Below are 17,988 nucleotides of genomic sequence, written 5' to 3' on the forward strand. Positions count from 1 at the left end.
TTCCGACCTCCACTAGCCAGATGAGAGTCAGGTGCCTTCACAACTATGTAACTATCTGTTTAAGAACTTGGGCTTTGGAAGTGGAGGGCCCTGGGTTCAAGTCCTGCCTTCACCACTCATGAGCGGCATAACCTTAGTTTGGCCCCTTTTCTGGACTCCTCTATTCCAGAGAGCTGTGGCGAGAATTATATGATAATATGCTAAGCATATATAGCTAAACATGGGTTGAGCACAGCGTCTGGCACATGCTAAATGCCCAGGAAATATTACCAGTTATCACTATTCTCTGAGTGGGGTTTCCTCATTTGTCAAATGTGGGTAAGATTAGTACCTTTTACCATGGATGTAAGGATTACATTCAGTAACAGGTGTGTGTGTGTAGTGTCTGGCACAAAGTAAAATGTCAGCGCTAATATTATCCTTTAGAAATGGAAGCCATTCTGCCCTCCCAGGAGCCCTGGAGGAACACTCTTTTTAAACACAAGAGCTCTTTGGTGAAGGAAACAGTATTAGTAGAGATCAGAATCGGGTTGGTGGTCTTCGGTATCTAATGTGTGATCCAGCAGGGTGTGAGAGGAGTTGGGGGCGCTTGGGAGTCAGTGGCGTGAGTGTAGTCTTCCTCTTCGGAGATTCATCCATGTTGGTATGCTCTGTTTTTCTTTGATAAGCCCATTGCCCAAGCCAAGCTCTGCTCGCTAGCTCCAGAACACAGGTTACATTGCTTACCTGTGTCTTTGCTTTAACCCCTTCCTGTAATCAGAATGGCCTCTTCCTTTCCTCATCAGCTGATTCACCAAGACCCCATTTAAAAGCTTTTTCCCCTCTGAAGCCTGCTCCCTGACAGCTCCACCCCACAATGAATCTGCTCCTCCGAATTCCTATTATTTGTATCCTTGCATTCCTTTTTCCTTGCTGTCTTGTAGATCCCATTTCTTCAACTAGACTGGGAGTTCTTTAAGGGATGGGATCGTGGTTATACTTCCTGGTCTCCATTTCACTATCTTCCCTCTAGTGGATCCACAGTAAATACTCACAGGTTGAAAAAAAAGTAAGTAAATTTTTAACCCATGCAAATGTCAATATATGTATTGTAGGCAAGACTGCTAATTCTAGGAGTTGTCAGCTCTTGTTGACACTTTTTAACTTTATGGAGCACCGCAAAGAAAACTGCCATTTAAGAGCTTGCTTAAGTTAGAAAGCAATAAAAGTGAAGAATATTCTAGGCCTGGTCCATAAATCCTTCCCAAGCACAATCTTCATGCTCTTTCCTTGTCTTCCTGCTGAATGGAGAGCATTTTGAGGACTGAGGGGAAGGTGGAACCATAACATGAAAGGAGCCTGGATTCCTGAGTAGCTGCTTGGAGGGGAGCCAACCAGGAGAGATGCCTGGGCAGGAGGACTCATGTCAGACTTGCATGAGAAGTAAAAACACACACACACACACACACACACACACACACACAGCAGGTAATGCCCATGCGTCTTGTCAGTTGGATGTTTTCTCATTAGAAAAATGACTATAGTTAGGGCTGAATTAAAGGTAGGCATTGCCTTAATTTATGGTTGGTACAATCTGAGTGTAAATGTGTCCCCCATCTAGAATCTGTGGTTAGTCACTATTTCAGAATAATGCTCCCACAGGGTTTTCTCTGTGTGTACTGTTGATAACCACAGTAATTCCATCAGCCTCACATTGTTGATCATGTTTGGATGGGCTACCATCCGCTGAATGGTTTGGCTGCAACAGGGACTGACTCACAATTCCGTAACCTAAAATCCACTGTAGTGAGTCATTATTTTCTGTCCAGCTGACACTCAAAGCTGGCAGTCCTCTCTCTGACAGGACGCTTACAGGAGCCTCCTAATTTGAGATTTAGCAGAGATCCTGCTCTGGGATTCCAGGATTGGTCAACAGTTCCTATAACTGAGCTGTGAGGATGAGAGGATCTCAAGCCACAGCAAATAGAGGACCATTGGCATCCCGATGAGATGGGACCCCTGTAACCTGCCCTGATCTGGAGGTGGTCAGACAGCTCAGCCTTCCAGCTCCCAACCCTGAATTTGGACATGGCCCACAAAGGCCTGGATCACAGAAAAGACTGTCATCACACCCTTGCCTTGAAGCCCTGTCCTTCACTCTTATGGGTCCTTCCTCACACAGTTTTCCTAAGCTCATTATCTGCTTTCCCAACCCAGGATGTTGAGCTGTAACAAGAAGATGATGCAGGGATGAGGAGATGGGAGGCAGGTGTTAGACAAATGACAAGAGCTGTCGGCCCAGAGTCATCACTCGGGGAGGAGAAAAACACACCCAACACACAATGACATTATGATAGAATACAACAGAGATGTACGGGGTGAATCTCAAGTGCATGGAAAAAATAATTTCTGTTCATTGTTGTTGTGGTTTAGATGGTAGAACTATCACTTTCAGCCTCTGCTAGGAGAAAGCTACCTTTCGCTAATAACGGAAGAGCTCATCGATTTCAGACTCTCATCCCAACTTCACCTCCCCACATCATTCACTTTTCTTTCTTTTTTCCTTCTGGGTGTGCACAGAGGAGGGCGCACGGAGACGGAACTTGCTCTGAAATACCTTCTGCACAGAGGGTTGCCTGGAGGCAGAAATGCTTCTGTGCCCCAGATCCTCATCATCGTCACTGATGGGAAGTCCCAGGGGGATGTGGCACTGCCATCCAAGCAGCTGAAGGAAAGGGGTGTCACTGTGTTTGCTGTGGGGGTCAGGTTTCCCAGGTAAGAGCCTCAGTCACCCTGGATCAGCCCTCAGGTGGTCAGCCTGGGGATCGTGACATGGCCATGGGAGGGAAGGGAGGGGACTGGAAGAGCCGTCCAGGTCCTTCCCTGGATCTGTCTTTTCCTCACTTTGCCATTTTGACTCCAGTGCACAGGAAGCTCCAATCTTTTGGAGCCTGTATTTGCATTGATTTTGGTTTTGTTTGAAAACTCAGTTGCAAGTGCCAGAAACTCTGCTGAAATTTATTTGGGCAAAAATGGAAATTCATGGAGTGATCTCATTCACTGGGTGGGATGGGGGTCCCTCAGGGTGTGCAGGAGCCAGGGACTTCAGTGTCATCGAGATTCTTCCACATATCTCTGCTGTTCTCTGCCTGTTGCCTCCTCTCGTACCCTGACTTTATTAGGAAGCTGGAACTGGAGCTGTGGACGGTGCCCAGCTCACGTCTTCAGAGCTCCACCCTGGAGAGAAAAGACCCCTTTCCACAGTTTAACAATCCAATAAAATATTCTAATCAGCCTGAGGCAGAGCCCACTCTTGGGGCCAAGGGAGTAGGAGTCTGACTGGCCACTCCCCCTTTACCCCATTTGTCTAGCTGCTGGGCAAATAGGCTTTCCTAGAAGAGAGGAGGGTACAGATCCTTAATGCTCTCAAACCAAAAAATGGACGTCACTTATGCCATGGACCAATAGTTATTGTGAGCGTTAAGTGAAATGACTCTGGTCTGGGCACTGTGTTTGCACACAGAAATCTCTTCATTAATTTTAGTACATTATTTAATTTCTCAGTTAATAAATCCAGGGTTGTCTTTCTCATGCTGGGCATTATTCTAGGTGCTTAGAATACAGAGACAATAATACAAAGTCCCTGCCCTCATGGAGTTTCCATTCTCAGAAAGGAACTAGATAATAAATAAATACATAATATAATTTCAGGTGGAAGTAAAATGCAAAAGGGAAAAATAAAGTAGGGTAAGAGGCTAAAGAATGATGGGGAATAGAGAGGAAAGCTATTTTAGTTTGGGTGGTCAGTCAAGGCTTCTTTGAGAAATTGATTTTTGAGCAGAAACTTGAGTGAAGTGAGGAGTAAGCCTTCCAAATATCAGGGGAAGGCAGGGCAAAGCAGGCAGGTGGGTGGTAAGTACAAAGGCCCTGGGGCAGCAGGTAGGCTGGCGAGTTATAGGAAGGAACAGCCAGACGGCCAGGGAGGGGCGGAAGCCCAGCAAGCAAGTGGCAGAAACACAAGAAGTAAGGGTGGAAGAGCCAGGAGTCAGCCACAGAGACTTGGTGGGCATGGAGAAGATGTTAGTTTATTGTGAGTAGGATGACAGACAGCCTTTGGAGGGTTTTAAGCAGGGGAATGATATCTTCAGAGAATCACATTGGCTGCTGTGTACGAAATAGACTGACAGGATAGGGGTGGGAGAGGAAATAGTAAGGGGAGAGGGGAAACTGATTAGGAGGCCTTTGGCATGGCTCACAAAAGAGATCATGGTGGCTCCTAGAGGGAAGCAGCTGCAGCCTCGACTTAGGATATGTTTGTTGTTTGTTGTTGTTTTTGAGACAGCCTCGCTTTGTCACCCAGGCTGGAGTGCAGTGGCGCCATCTCAGCTCACTGCAACCTCCGCCTCCTGGGTTCAAGCGATTCTCATGCTTCAGCCTTCTGAGTAGCTGGGATTATATGTGCATACCACCACACCTGTGCACGCCACCACACCTGGCTACTTTTTTTTTTTTTTAAATAGAGATAGGGTTTCACCATGTTGGCCAGGCTAGTCTTGAACTCCTGGCTTCAAGTGACCCACCCGTCTCAGCCTTCCATAGTGCTGGGATTACAGGCGTGAGCCACTGCGCCTGGCGTTGGCTTAGGATATGTTTTGAAGGCAGAGCAGTGAGCGGCCGCCACTGAATTGGAGGTGGGTGTGTGAGAGAAGAATTGAGGATTTTGACTTGAGCCCCAGAGTGAATAGTGGTGCCATCTCCCGACATGGGAAAGATGACAACGGGGGAAGAGCACGGGACATTGTGTTCTGTTTCAGACAGAGGAAGTTTGCGGTGCACATTGTACAGCTCAGTGTGGGAGCCGAGCAGACAGTTGGGTGTGAGAATCTGGAGCATGGAGGAGGGGACAGGCATGGAGATTGAAATTTGAGGTGGTTTTTAAATCTGATATAAGGTCACCTAGGTAGTGGGGACAGGGAGAGAAGATGACCAACGGGCCAGCAAGTGCAGGTCAGAGAGAGGAAGAAGATAGAGTGATGGAGACTAAAGAGCGGCCAGTAAGGTGGGGACATCCAGGATTGTGCCATGTCCTGGAAATGGTGATGACATCATTGTCATCAATCATTGTGATCAGCAAGTTGGCATTTAACACAGCCTGCCTTAGCCTTCATTGGCTCATTTTGTCTTCTCAAATATAGGCAATACAAACTCCTGGAGAGAGGAGAGAGGGACTTTGCCTCATGGCCCTCTGCCCGCCGTTTCCCACATTGTGCCAGACACAGTGCCTTGAGCATAGCCATTGCCAAAGATTTGTCCATGAGGGTAGAACCCACCACACGGTGGGAATCCCTGTCTCCTTCCAGTGCTTTCTTCTTCAGCAGGTAGCTGGAACAGTGCCTCTCAAACTGGACCAGTATTTTGTTTTTTTGGTTTTTTTTCCCCCAGATACACCATGGACTGATAACTTTTTAAAAATACAATAAAAATGAGGCCGGGCATGGTGGCTCACGCCTGTAATCCCAGCACTTTGGGAGGCCAAGGATGGTGGATTACTTGAGGTCAGGAGTTTGAAACCAGCCTGGCAAACAGGATGAAACCCTATCTCTACTAACAATATAAAAATTAGCCAGGCATGGTGGTGGGTGCCTGTAATCCCAGCTACCCAGGAGGCTAGGGCAAGAGAGTCACTTGAACCCAGGAAGCAGAGGTTACAGTGAGCCGAGATTACGCCACTGCAGTCCAGCCTGGGTGACAGAGGGTGACTCCGTCTCATAAAACAAAAATAAATTAATTAGGGGAAAAATGAAATAAACACAATATAAATTCAAATGTTTATTATTTGATTCAGCAGACATAAAATGACTGTCTCATCGCTGTCCAGTTAGTTTGTCAGTGTTTCAGTGTCTGCGCTTGTCCCCTCTGCACCAGCGTTTAATGCTTAGGGAGCTGCTCTGCCCACCCATTGCTCTTTGAGCAGCCATGGCCTAGAGAGATGAGAAGCCATTCCTTGGGAGGGGGATGGCCTGAGCTGAGGGCCATGTAGGGCTCCCAGGACCACCTGACCCACCCCTCCCCACTCCCACCAAAGGGCTGAGTCGCTGTTGCTCACTGGTTCTCAACGTGTGCTCCCTGGATGCAGTATCTTCGTCACCTGGGAGCCTGCTGGAAACGCACAGCCTGTGGCCCCACACCACTGAATCAGAAACTCAGAGTCAGAGAGCCTTGGTCTGCTCTTCATCCTGCCTTCAGTGACTCTGATGCCCACCAGAGTTTGAGGGTCACTGCCAAGGGCAGCGTGAAACTCTACAAGCAATAAAGCAAAAAAACTGATACTGGTTCAGTCTCTACTTTTATTTTTTTGAGACAGGGTCCCGCTCTGTCACCCAGGCTGGAATGCAGTGGCACGATCATGGCTAACTGCAGCCCTGACCTCCTGGGCTCAAGTGATCCTCCCACCTCAGCCACCCAAGTAGCTGAAGTAGCTGGGAATACAGATGTCTGCCACGACACCCAGCAATTTTTTTTTTTTTTTTTTTTTTTTTTGTAGAGACAGGGTTTCACTGTGTTGCCCAGGCTGGTCTCAAACTCCTAAGCTTGAGGGATTCTCCCGCCTCGGCCTCCCAAAGTACTGGGATAACAGGCGTGAGCCACTGCACCTGGTCTCTTTCCGCCTTTTGAGCCCCTTCTCTGACAGTTCTCAGCTCTGGCTCAGCATCTGAATTACCTGGCAGCTTGTAAGAAAGTCCATTGCAGGGCTGGGGGGCTCCAGGGCTGGCAGCACTGCCTGCAGACCGTGGCTGTGCAACGCCTCCCCTGTGCACATGTGCCCTCAGGGCTCAGTCCTGGGTCCTGGGAGGAGAATCTGTTTTATGTGCATTCAGAGGAGAATGGGAAGTTTTACAGACCTGAATTTTAGAAATGAATGGGATTTTTGCCCTATCGTCAAACCTTGGTCCACCCTGATGACTTTTCAAGGACAGGATTCTTCTAGATACATTACTGACTGCACGTCTTTTTTTTTTTTTTTTTTTTTTTTTTTTTTCTGGAGACAGACTCTCACTCTGTTGCCCAGGCTGGATTGCAGTGGCACAATCTCGGCTCACTGCATCCTCCACCTCCCAGGTTCAAGTGGCTCTCCTGTCTCAGCCTCCCAAGTAGCTGGAACTACAGGCACCCACCACCACACCCAGCTAATTTTTGTATTTTTAGTAGAGATGGGGTTTCATCATGTTAGCTAGGCTGGTCCCAAACTCCTGACCTCAAGTGATCCACCCACCTCGGCCTCCCAAAGTGCTGGGATTAGGCGTGAGCCACCACACCCCCCCTCCGACTGTGTGTCTTCTTAAAATGAGGTTTCTCAACATCGCCTAACCCTTTCTTCATGTCCTAGTGTCACCATCTGTACATCATTTTCCTCCTGGCACAAACAGCGCTGCCCTATGGCTATCGAGGTGTGCTGGCCGCTTCCTCTAGATGGCCTCCTATTGCTGGCCTTGGAGTTCTTACGTCCATTGTTTATCATTCCTCAGTCTTTTTTTCTGTTACCAGCTATGCTTGCTTGTTCTTTGCTTGCTGTCACCTCGAACCACTTTCTTTCATTTCCATTCCGGTTAACTGTTTTCCTCACCAGCTATGGGTCTGACAAAACCAGACACTAAATCTGTGCTGCCATCCACAAGGAACCCACGGCCTAGAAGATGAGGGGGCAGGAGGAGGGTGGGTATAGGACCACAAGCTGTTACAACCCCTTGGCACAGGTGGGAGGAGCTGCATGCACTGGCCAGCGAGCCTAGAGGGCAGCACGTGCTGTTGGCTGAGCAGGTGGAGGATGCCACCAACGGCCTCTTCAGCACCCTCAGCAGCTCGGCCATCTGCTCCAGCGCCACGCCAGGTAAGATCTTCCAGCCTGGAGGGAGTGGAAGTGCCATGTGGGGTCGGGGAGGGCTCCCTGAGGCAAGAGGTCAGGACCCAGGAGCCTCCCAAGGATGGAGGGCAGGCAAGAGAAACAGAGACCGGCAGCCTCCACCCTGGATGCTCTGCGTCTCCCTGTGCCCTGCCCTGTGGGTTTCCCAGCTGGGAGCCCCGAGCTTGTCTTCATGGAGGTAGAGGGGCCCAGGGTTTGAGACCCAAATGTAGTAGGTTCCCTGTCCCCTGCTCAAGAGACAGAGCCAAGTCTCCTCCCCCTGCCTTGGACCACACAGAGGAGCACAAGGAGGCTTTGTGCTTGGTGCGAGATCCCTGCATTCTAGTCGTCCTTGTCAGGGTCCACCCAGGAGCCACATTGATGACGTTATGTGGAATGTACATGTGTGCCCATTACGCAAAAGCTGTGTGGGGTGGGGCCCAGCAGAGGAGATGCTCAGAGACTGGATGCCCCGCTGAACAGGCAGAGCAGGGCCCTTCACCCAGAGATATGCCCTGACCTGAGAGAGCAGAAAGTGGCCAGCCTGGAAGTGTGGTGGAACCTCCCAGGAGCGGGAGCAGCTGCTGGGGAAGCGTGTGTGGCAGGAGGAGGTGGAACCCTGTCTCCTCCGTGGGTGTGGGTGTGTGTTGTGGACACAGACTGCAGGGTCGAGGCTCACCCCTGTGAGCACAGGACGCTGGAGATGGTCCGGGAGTTCGCTGGCAATGCCCCATGCTGGAGAGGATCGCGGCGGACCCTTGCGGTGCTGGCTGCACACTGTCCCTTCTACAGGTTTGTCTGCGCGGTCTGGGCTCGGCCTGGGTGGAGATGAAGGCCCCCACCCCTGAGCTGCGGGGAGGATAGTACTTTGGGGCCCTGCCATGGAGATTGTGACAGGGATCGAAGGAGACCTGGGAGGGAGCCAGGGACGTAGCCATGGGAGAACAGGGAGAGGCACAGCTACTCAGTGTCAGCATCCCTTAACACACAGCCCAGGTACCCAGGGTGAGCACTGGTGGCAGGGTCACAGGCATTCTGGAAGGCTGGTGAGTGAGCCAAGTGCTGGCCCTGCAGGGCGGTGGTCTGCACTTGGGATATTGATTTGGTAATTTGGTTCCTCTGAGCACCAGTTTCCACATTATGGGGGCTGAGTGAGGCAAGAGGATAGAGATCCTCAGATGAATTCCAGTCAGGGAGGCTATGGGATGCTGGGTTCTTTGGGATTGGAGCCCAGGCACCCAAGAGCACCTGCTGCCCGTCTGCCCACCCATCCCTCCCAAACACTCCCCACACTGTTCCTGGGCACTTTCTTTAGACTACCTGCCATTCAGCACCTCTGTCCGGAGACTGGTGACCCTGCCCCTCTCCCTTTCTGGGGGGCCGGGGCAGTGTTTGAATCAGCTGCATCTTTACCCATTGGTCCTCCCCCAGCGATGAGCTCACAGCACAGCACACAGCAGTGAAATGGATTGGCTGAGAAGCCTTAGGGCTGTGCTGGGCTGATGGAGAATCCAAAGACTGTTTCTCTGGGAAAGGCCAGCCCCCTACATAAGGGTCAGAGGAGATGAGGTCTCATGCCACTCTGGGGCCACCAGAGGCTCTCCTCAGAACCCAACCTCTCAAGTGAAAGGAGGAGTTGATTCGTTCCTTGGTGGCCACTTTCTAAGTGCCTGCTCAGAGCCAGGCAATGTGCAATAAGAAGACAGTACAGTTGCTGCCCCCAAGGAATCATGGTTTAGAGGAGGGCATTGGAAAAGGAGACCAGCGGCCACCCTGAGGCATCCTAGGTGTTGGGATGGAGTCTGTCCTCTCTGGGATGTCACAGAGAAGGGGCTGCTCGAGCAGTTTTGCAAGATTTGGAACTGTGGCAGTGGGCAAGGCGCTCAGAGCCGGGAGCGGCTGGAAGAGGCTGGTGGCTGCAGTGTATACTTCCTGGGCCTTGCATTCAGACTCTGCTCTCAGGCTGCTGAATTTTTAATCTTAGCAGAACCACTAGGGAGCGGTGAACTTACCACTGCATGTTTCTATGTTTGAAAAGGGGTGTGATAATAATCATACCTGCCCTACAGGTTTGTTGAGAACAGGCGGTGATTTAATAGGTAGATGTGTTAATATTGCAGGCTCCTAGAATGAAGCATTTGGGAGCTCTTCACCCATTTCTTCACTCAAGAAATACCCACTGAGGGCCTCCTGTGCTCCTGGCACTCACCCAGGTCCTGGGAAATCAGCACCAGCATCTCAGAAACACATCTACCCTCACAAGCTGACGCTCCAGTAATGGGAGGCAGTCATTCCAAAATGAATACAGAAAATAAACTGTTCAGTGGTAGCAGGTGCTGTGGAGGAACACAGCAGCAAGATGGGGATGCGGTGGGGTAGGCGGGGGGTTGGGGCAAGGTCACAGTTTGAAATGGAGTGGCCAGGGAGGGCCTTGCAGAGCATGTGGCATTTGTGTCCAGACCTGAGGGAGGTGGGGGGCAAACTGTGTGCAGGTCCCTGCAAAGCCCTGTTGGTAGTGTCTGCTCCATAAATGCTGATTCCCAGGGAAGCCTAAATCAGGGAGGGGGAAGGGCCCAGGGATCTTTCTGGGCTAGGACTTGTGGCTTTATGAGGTCACTAGGATAGACATGGAAGAGAAGACGATTTCTCTTGAATGAGCTGGCAGTTTGGCAAACTTTGTTTTTATTATTATTTTTTTGAGACAAGGTCTTGCTCTGTCACCAGGATGGAGTACAGTGGCAGAATCATGGCTTGGTGCAGCCTCAAACTTCCAGGCTCAAGTGATCCTCCCATTTCAGCCTCCTAAGTAGTTGGGACTACAGACACGCACCACCGTGGCCGGCTAATTTTTAAGATTTTTTTTTATAGATGGGGTCTCACTATGTTGCCCGGGCTGGTCTTAAACTCCTGAGCTCAATTCCTGCCTCCGCCTTTCATAGTGCTGGGATTACAGGCGTGAGCTACCACGCCCAGCCTTGGCAACCTTTATTTCAGCAACTCCATGAGCTCTGAATTGACTTGGCGTGTACTCCATTTTACCCCAGGGAAGACCCTGCCCTAGAGGAGCACCTGATTGGCCTGCCCCTGTGTGGGCAGCCCAGGGTGGGATCTTGTTGGAAGAAGCCTTATTTGGAGAACTTTAGGGAATGTTTCTGCCAAGGCCCAAGAGTCTCCTCAGGTGAGGCCATCCCAGGAGCTGCTGCCAACCCAGAGTGGGGCTTTCTGCCCCCAGATGAGGAACCGCTCCTGTGACAGCAGGGCACATGGCCCCGGAGACGCAGGAGAGGCGAGGGTGAGGCCCACAGGGTAGAGTGGGGGGATTTGGAGTCATGGTCAGGGTTTGGATCCCAGCTCTGCTGTGTTCCGGTAATTATGTGACCTCAGGGGCCCTAAGTGAGCCCTCAGAACCCATTTCCCTATCTGGAACATGGAGGGAACCATCTCTTCAGGTAGCTGTGGTTCATGGAACACCAGCAGGTGGAAGCCACCCAAGGAATGGTGGCTGCTGTGTTATCACAGAACGTTAGTTCTCCAGCAGACCTGAGAAGTCATTGAGTCCAGTGGCTTACATGTCTTGACCTGCAGAGCCTCGTGTGGACACTTGTTGTGTGGACCAGATAGTAGCAGCACACCTGGGGTGGAGGGGCGGGGCTGGGGCACTGCGGGAGGCCTGGAGCCTTGCTCCTTCAGTGCTCTTCTCTCCCCATCGAAGCTTTAAGGAATACAGTTGAAAAGTGAAGATAGAATTACTATACAAAGAGGAAAGTGAAGACCAGAGGAGGAAAGTAACATGTCTGTGGTCACACAGCCAAAATCCAGTTGCCCAGTTCCCAATATTTCTCTCCCTACTGCATCGTAAGCCTCAGAAAGTAACTTATAATAAAAAGCTGTTGCTACAGTTTGGGGTTTTGCATGTGGATGTCCCTAATTTCAAATGTGATAGCCAGCTTATGTTACCTTTTTTTTTTGAGATGGAGTCTTACTCTGTTACCCAGGCTGGAGTGCAGTTGTGCAATCTCGGCTCACCGCAACCTCTGCCTCCTGGGTTCAAGCATTTCTGCCTCAGCCTGCTAAGCTGGGATTACAGGCACATGCCACCACGCCCAGCTAATTTTTGTATTTTTAGTAGAGACGGGGCTTCACCATGTAGGCCAGGCTAGTCTCAAACTCCTGACCTCAAGTGATTTGCCTACCTTGGCCTCCCAAAGTGTTGGGATTGCAGGCGTGAGCCACCACTCCCAGCCTATTTTTTTTAATTGTCACTGGATAGTTTGAAACATTCCCTACTCTATGTGCAGAGAAAAGTTAGGGTAGAATCAAGAAACAAAACCAGGAAGTCTTTCTTACTTCTGCATTGGAATCTTCTATCAGCTTTTGGTGTTGTAAATCATCTTCTGTTTTCTGCCCTCCCCTTACACCTCTGATCTGTCTATAATTCTGTTTCCTTGGATTGTAGCTGGAAGAGAGTGTTCCTAACCCACCCTGCCACCTGCTACAGGACCACCTGCCCAGGTATGGTCTGTCTCTTGGATTTACAGGTTCTTTCAGGGCCCTGGGCCCAGGCTGCTTTGTAAAGTGGCTTTTACAATCCTGGGACAGAGGGTGGGGTTGTGACTGGCTCCAGGGCAGAGGGATGGGGCACTTGGGGGGCAGAGGAGAGTGTGCTCTTGACTCCCTCAATGGTGTTTGCTCATTAAGAATGGAGTGGCGGCTTTGGGATTACTCCCCTGAACCAGTGTTGTGTGCATTGGTGAGAGGCAGAGAGGCAGGCACCGAGCACCAGCTTTGCAGACATCCTCAAAGCCAGCACCAAACTCAGGGCAAGATATCTGAGTGATTTCCTCCTCTATAAAACATAGTGGTTTGTCCGATGTCTGGAAGCCCATTTCCCTCCTCCATGTGAAAGGGGGTCATCGTATATGAGGTCCTAGTGAAGATTCAGTAGATAATGCCCATGGAAGTAATCCCTCAGCTGTAAAATCCCAAATTAACGTGAGGAATCATCGATGCCATTATGCATCATTCAGCATGGTTCACCAGTGTGCCCTCACTATCCCTCACTTGGGGTGCTAGTGACCCCACTGACCTGGGAGCTTGAAATTGCCCTTCAATGTGTAGGTGTCAGTCCTGGGGTGGATTTGTTACTCCCGATGAGTAGCCTGTCTCCCGGAAGCAATGCCGGCAGTTAGACACACAGGCAGGGCAGCGAGCAGTTAGACACACAGGCAGGCAGGGCAGCGAGCAGTTAGACACACAGGCAGGGTAGCGAGCAGTTAGACACACAGGCAGGGTAGCGAGCAGTTAGACACACAGGCAGGGTAGCGAGCAGTTAGACACACAGGCAGGGTAGCGAGTGTCCCTATTTGGGGTTAGGTGATCCCTTCAGTATGTTCACAAGGTTTACAGTTCCAGCACCACGGCCTCTGAAGCACAGGAGAATCTGAGAGTGGAGCTGTTTCTGCTCAGAAATTAGGGTTTGAGGACTTCCGGTTTGGAAACTAGAGTGAAATGGCTTTCAGTCCCAGCTTTGCCTCTTACCAATGATCTGACCTGGGGCATGTGACTTCTATTCATTGAGCTTCAGCTTCCTCATCTGTCATATAGGGTTTTTATAGTTCCTACCTAAGGTTGTGACAATGAAATGGGACCATGCGTGTATTGTGCTTAGCACAGTCCCTGGCACATAATAGATGCTCAGTTAAAGGCCACTGTCGTCGATCTCAGTGAGCCCCCAGCTATTTCCACAGTCTTCTGGCTGATACAACAGCAGCCCCAGCGAAGTGCCTAGACTTAGCCTCAATCTTTTCTGCCTTTGAAAAGTCTATATTTTAATTACAATGATGTGGCCATCAAGAAAGAGATTAATATTTGTAAGCAAAAAGGACAAGAAAATGCCAGTCCCAGTTGTGACCACACTCAGCTGCTTATCCAGCTCTTGGAATACATGATCACATGAAGACCTTGTTTGTTTTCTGTAACCCTGGGAAGGAGGTCATGTGGTTTTAGCTGCACTTTGTAATAATTGATAAGGAAAGCAATGAGATGCTCAGGCATGGACCACAGGGAATCATAGATCAGACGCTTCAGAATGGGCCACATTTTGACACAGGCTGTGGTTTCCCATGTAAACTTTCAGCTTTGAAGAGGCCTTGCTCATAATTTGCATCTCACATCCAAAAGTCAATACTGTCATTACCTGTTGGGGAGTGTTTTTTTAGTGCTGAGACTTTCTGCGGATTAATTCATTTAATCCTCACAATAACCCCACAGAACAAGTTCAGTTCCCATCACTCCTTTTTAGATGAGGATATGAAGATGGGAGAGGTTAATTAAGGTGCCGGAGGAAGTGGAAGAGGCCACATTCAGTCCTGAGCAGCCTGACTGCAGGATCCGAAGGCTGGTGTGTTTTGCTGTGCCAGGTGCAGAGGCCATTAAGACAACCCTGTGTAGAACTTAGAAGACAGGGCCCCATTGGCACCGCAGCTCTCTCTCAGTCTTGAGGCACCCACACTTGATGCTACGGGGAGCTTCCTCCTTGTCAAGCTTCAGTCTAACACCAGTTCATCACACAGGGCCTTACCAAGCCTGCTACAGAGCATCCTTTACCACCCGTGCCCAGCCCCTCCTTTATGAACTCCACAGTGCTTTCCCCTCTCTGCTGCAGATTTCCTGGTGGACTGTGGGGGAAGGGAGGGGCTGGGCCACTGCTAGAGCAGGAAGCCAGCTGCACCCACACCTCTGGCCAGTCCTCTCCACTCCTCTGTGCTGCGGTGCTTAGCGGTTAATGGGCATCTCTCTGATAGGCCCCTGTGACTCGCAGCCCTGCCAGAATGGAGGCACATGTGTTCCAGAAGGACTGGACGGCTACCAGTGCCTCTGCCCGCTGGCCTTTGGAGGGGAGGCTAACTGTGGTAGGTATGCACCGGCCCTGCAAGACTGACCACTGGGGAGCAAGAAGAGGACGGGCTCCCCTTTTCATTGCACGCCCTTCCAGCTGCTGGGTAGAAACTGGCCCTTGAACCATCTGCTTTCCAATGCACCACTGGTCTGCAGTTCACGTGGTGCAGCCTGTCAGTGCTCCGTGAGTAGATAATTGGGGTGGCTGAGCTCTGGATGAGACAGTGGCTCCCAGCTTATTAGCTGCAGAATGGTCACTGCTTGAAGTTTGAGTGCTGCCCAGCCCAGCTGAAGGCAGGAGTCCACCCAACTCTGGCTCCCAGTCCTGGGCAGAGTCTTTTCTTCTCTATTCTATGAAAGCAGAGCAAGGAGCCCCGATTCCTTTTGATTTTAGAGGTGTGAAATGAAGATGATAGTAGGCTTTACCTCACTGGGTGGTTGAGAGTTTTAAATAAGATTATGCAAAGTGCTTAGTACCATGCTTGACGCATATAAGGGCTTGATGAATAATAACTTTTAAAAACAAGTGATACTGGGTTAGTTGAAGATCTGTATGAAAACAATCTTGACCCTGTACCTCACAACCCTACCAGAAGTCAATTCTAGCGTGGCTATAGACCTCTGTGCAAAAGGCAAAGCAGTGAAGCCTGTAGAAGCAAACACAGGAGCATATATTTTCATGATCTTGAGGCAGACAAAGATTTCTCAGGACACACACAGGACTAACCATAATGGAAAAAAGTGATAATGTAGATGGCATTTTTCTTTAAAAAGTGGCTAGATGGAGACCCTTAGCGAGTGCCAGGAGTGCCATGTCTGGCCTTGTCTCTAACTCTGTGACGAGCACGGGTCACTTAAGCTTGGGGGGCCCACAGTTTCTCTGCACCATCTCCCTCCTGGGAGATGTTCGGCATCTCGGGTGGGACAGCTCGCATGCCGCATGACCATGGCTTGACAGTGGGTGTTGCTGTGATCCCCGCAGCCCTGAAGCTGAGCCTGGAATGCAGGGTCGACCTCCTCTTCCTGCTGGACAGCTCTGCGGGCACCACTCTGGACGGCTTCCTGCGGGCCAAAGTCTTCGTGAAGCGGTTTGTGCGGGCCGTGCTGAGCGAGGACTCTCGGGCCCGAGTGGGTGTGGCCACATACAGCAGGGAGCTGCTGGTGGCGGTGCCTGTGGGGGAGTACCAGGATGTGCCTGACCTGGTCTGGAGCCTCGATGGCATTCCCTTCCGTGGTGGCCCCACCCTGACGGGCAGTGCCTTGCGGCAGGCGGCAGAGCGTGGCTTCGGGAGCGCCACCAGGACAGGCCAGGACCGGCCACGTAGAGTGGTGGTTTTGCTCACTGAGTCACACTCCGAGGATGAGGTTGCGGGCCCAGCGCGTCACGCAAGGGCGCGAGAGCTGCTCCTGCTGGGTGTAGGCAGTGAGGCCGTGCGGGCAGAGCTGGAGGAGATCACAGGCAGCCCAAAGCATGTGATGGTCTACTCGGATCCTCAGGATCTGTTCAACCAAATCCCTGAGCTGCAGGGGAAGCTGTGCAGCCGGCAGCGGCCAGGTAAGGTCCCAGTGCCTGACCCAGGACCGCTGGTCAGTGGGCGGGTCCTTCCTCCTTTTGGCCACCACCTAACCATCATTTTCTGCCAGTGCCTCTTCTAGGGGCTGAAACCACAGCCCCACTCTTTCAGGCACCAGTCACATAAATAATTTTCAGTTTACCTGTCAACAAAATGGGACTAATAGTAGTACCTCCTGAGAGATCTTTAGTGAGAATTAGGTAAGATGGGCAGTGTACATGCTTAGTACAGAGTAAGCACTCAGCAAACTCTAGGTGTTGCTGTTATCATTCTTAATCACGATTTTATTGTTGTTGTTACTAAGAGCTCTGAATCTACTAAGCAGGCTCCAGAGCAGCAGCTTCCCAGCTCCTTTGATGGCAATCCACAGAAAAGTGTGTTCCTGGTGCACACATGCACATGTATGCACACATACACACACGGATGCATGTGCATGCACACGCGCTGGTGCAGCCACACACAACTGAAACAAACGCTTCCTGAGAGGATACTTACCCTGTCTACTTGGGATGCATTCTGACATTTTTCTCTTCTGTTCTGTTTTGCAAGCCATGAAGCTGATTTTTTATGACCCCTATTGGAAGGCACTCTAGAGAACACTGTCCCCACGCAGAGGCCTGGCCCATGGCCAGAGATGTAGTAGCTGAAACACGTCTTTTTTTTCTTTTGAGACAGGGTCTTGCTCTGTTACCCAGGCTGGAATGCAGTGGCACGATCATAGCTCACTGCAGCCTTGAACTCCTGGGCTCACGTGATCCTTCCACCTCAGCCTCCAGAATAGCCAGGACTACAGGTGCACACCACCATGCCCAGCTAATTGTTTTATTTTTTAGAGAGATGTGGTCTTGCTATGTTGCCCAGGCTGGTCTCGAACTCCTGGGCTCAAGCAATCCACCCACCTCAGCCTCCCAAAGTGGAGGGATTACAGGCTTGAGTGAAATGTAAGCCTTTATAGGGCTCCTGGAGTTCTCCCCTTGGTAGGTGGGCATGGGAAGCTACAGATGTGATTCTGCTTCTCAGCCCTGATGCCACCACTCTCCCCAAGGCGAGAGGCTTTCCCTCCTGTAAGGCGGAAGGACAGGGATTGGCTGCCCACTCCCACCCTGCCCCTCCAGGCTGGTCTAAGTGCTTTTGTTCTGCTGCTTTGTTTGGTTGGATTTTTTAAAAAAAATAATAGTTGTAGATTTATAGGAAAAAATAATTGACAATAGTGGAGAGTTCCCTATACCCCACACCCAGTTTCCCCTCCTATTAACACCTTGCATTAGTATGGCACAGTGTTATCATTAATGAACCAGTATTGATACATCATTATTTAGTGAATCCATGCTTATTTATATTTGTTTAGTTTTTACCTAATGTCTTTTTTGTGTTCCAGAATCCCATCCAGGACCCCACAGTACATGTAGTCAGCCGCCTTCCCCGTAGCTGTGATAGTTTCTCAGACGTTCCTGGTGTGGGAGTGGTTTTAAAAACCAGTAATCAGAGCATCAGCTCCTCTAACTCCATACTTAGAATTTCCAGTGGTTCCCCTTTGCACTTGGAATAAAACCCAAACTCCTTCCCCTGGCTTCTGAGAGCTCCCTGTGGCCTGGTCCCCACAGGCCTCTCTGCATCCCCTGCACAGGAGAGGCCTTC

General features: G+C 50.5%; 2 protein-coding genes across 30 annotated transcripts in view, besides 4 other annotated features; one reads left to right on the forward strand and one right to left on the reverse strand.

Annotated features, from left to right (window-relative positions):
- VWA2 (von Willebrand factor A domain containing 2) overlaps positions 1-17,988 on the forward strand; it is a 55,247-nt gene that overhangs the window by 30,927 nt on the left and 6,332 nt on the right. For 4 of the 9 annotated variants that reach the window (NM_001272046.2, NM_001320804.1, XM_017016179.3 and 1 more), the window contains exons 6-11: positions 2,560-2,754; positions 7,734-7,867; positions 8,539-8,671; positions 12,336-12,391; positions 14,683-14,790; positions 15,759-16,331. In NM_001272046.2, coding sequence (NP_001258975.1) covers positions 2,560-2,754; positions 7,734-7,867; positions 8,539-8,671; positions 12,336-12,391; positions 14,683-14,790; positions 15,759-16,331 — 1,199 coding nt within the window. Of the gene's footprint in view, positions 1-923; positions 1,049-2,559; positions 2,755-7,733; positions 7,868-8,538; positions 8,672-12,332; positions 12,392-14,682; positions 14,795-15,758; positions 16,332-17,988 lie in introns of those variants that run through there. The other 5 variants (XM_047425155.1, XM_017016178.2, XM_011539754.3 and 2 more) reach the window with 3 other exon arrangements.
- Positions 1,577-1,777: a silencer, noted in NCBI's record as "peak1097 fragment used in MPRA reporter construct". NCBI's record gives its function as "represses an SCP1 promoter by STARR-seq MPRAs in K562 erythroleukemia cells {active_cell/tissue: K562}" and the evidence as "EXISTENCE:reporter gene assay evidence [ECO:0000049][PMID:32103011]".
- Positions 6,750-7,250: an enhancer, noted in NCBI's record as "H3K4me1 hESC enhancer chr10:116036689-116037189 (GRCh37/hg19 assembly coordinates)". NCBI's record gives its function as "activates a minimal SCP1, AML or CMV promoter by ChIP-STARR-seq in primed H9 embryonic stem cells {active_cell/tissue: H9 hESC(primed)}" and the evidence as "EXISTENCE:reporter gene assay evidence [ECO:0000049][PMID:30033119]".
- Positions 7,358-7,859: an enhancer, noted in NCBI's record as "H3K4me1 hESC enhancer chr10:116037297-116037798 (GRCh37/hg19 assembly coordinates)". NCBI's record gives its function as "activates a minimal SCP1, AML or CMV promoter by ChIP-STARR-seq in primed H9 embryonic stem cells {active_cell/tissue: H9 hESC(primed)}" and the evidence as "EXISTENCE:reporter gene assay evidence [ECO:0000049][PMID:30033119]".
- The window catches only part of AFAP1L2 (actin filament associated protein 1 like 2), a 124,451-nt gene continuing 117,007 nt past the window's right edge, over positions 10,545-17,988 (reverse strand). For all 21 annotated transcript variants that reach the window (XM_047425858.1, XM_047425857.1, XM_047425856.1 and 18 more), the window contains one exon: positions 10,545-11,591. In XM_047425858.1, coding sequence (XP_047281814.1) covers positions 11,445-11,591 — 147 coding nt within the window. In that variant the 3' untranslated portion in view covers positions 10,545-11,444. The remainder of the gene's footprint in view (positions 11,592-17,988) is intronic.
- Positions 15,416-16,027: an enhancer, noted in NCBI's record as "H3K27ac-H3K4me1 hESC enhancer chr10:116045355-116045966 (GRCh37/hg19 assembly coordinates)". NCBI's record gives its function as "activates a minimal SCP1, AML or CMV promoter by ChIP-STARR-seq in primed H9 embryonic stem cells {active_cell/tissue: H9 hESC(primed)}" and the evidence as "EXISTENCE:reporter gene assay evidence [ECO:0000049][PMID:30033119]".

This window comes from Homo sapiens, chromosome 10 (genome assembly GCF_000001405.40).
Source record: "Homo sapiens chromosome 10, GRCh38.p14 Primary Assembly".
In the NCBI taxonomy this organism is placed as follows: domain Eukaryota; kingdom Metazoa; phylum Chordata; class Mammalia; order Primates; family Hominidae; genus Homo; species Homo sapiens.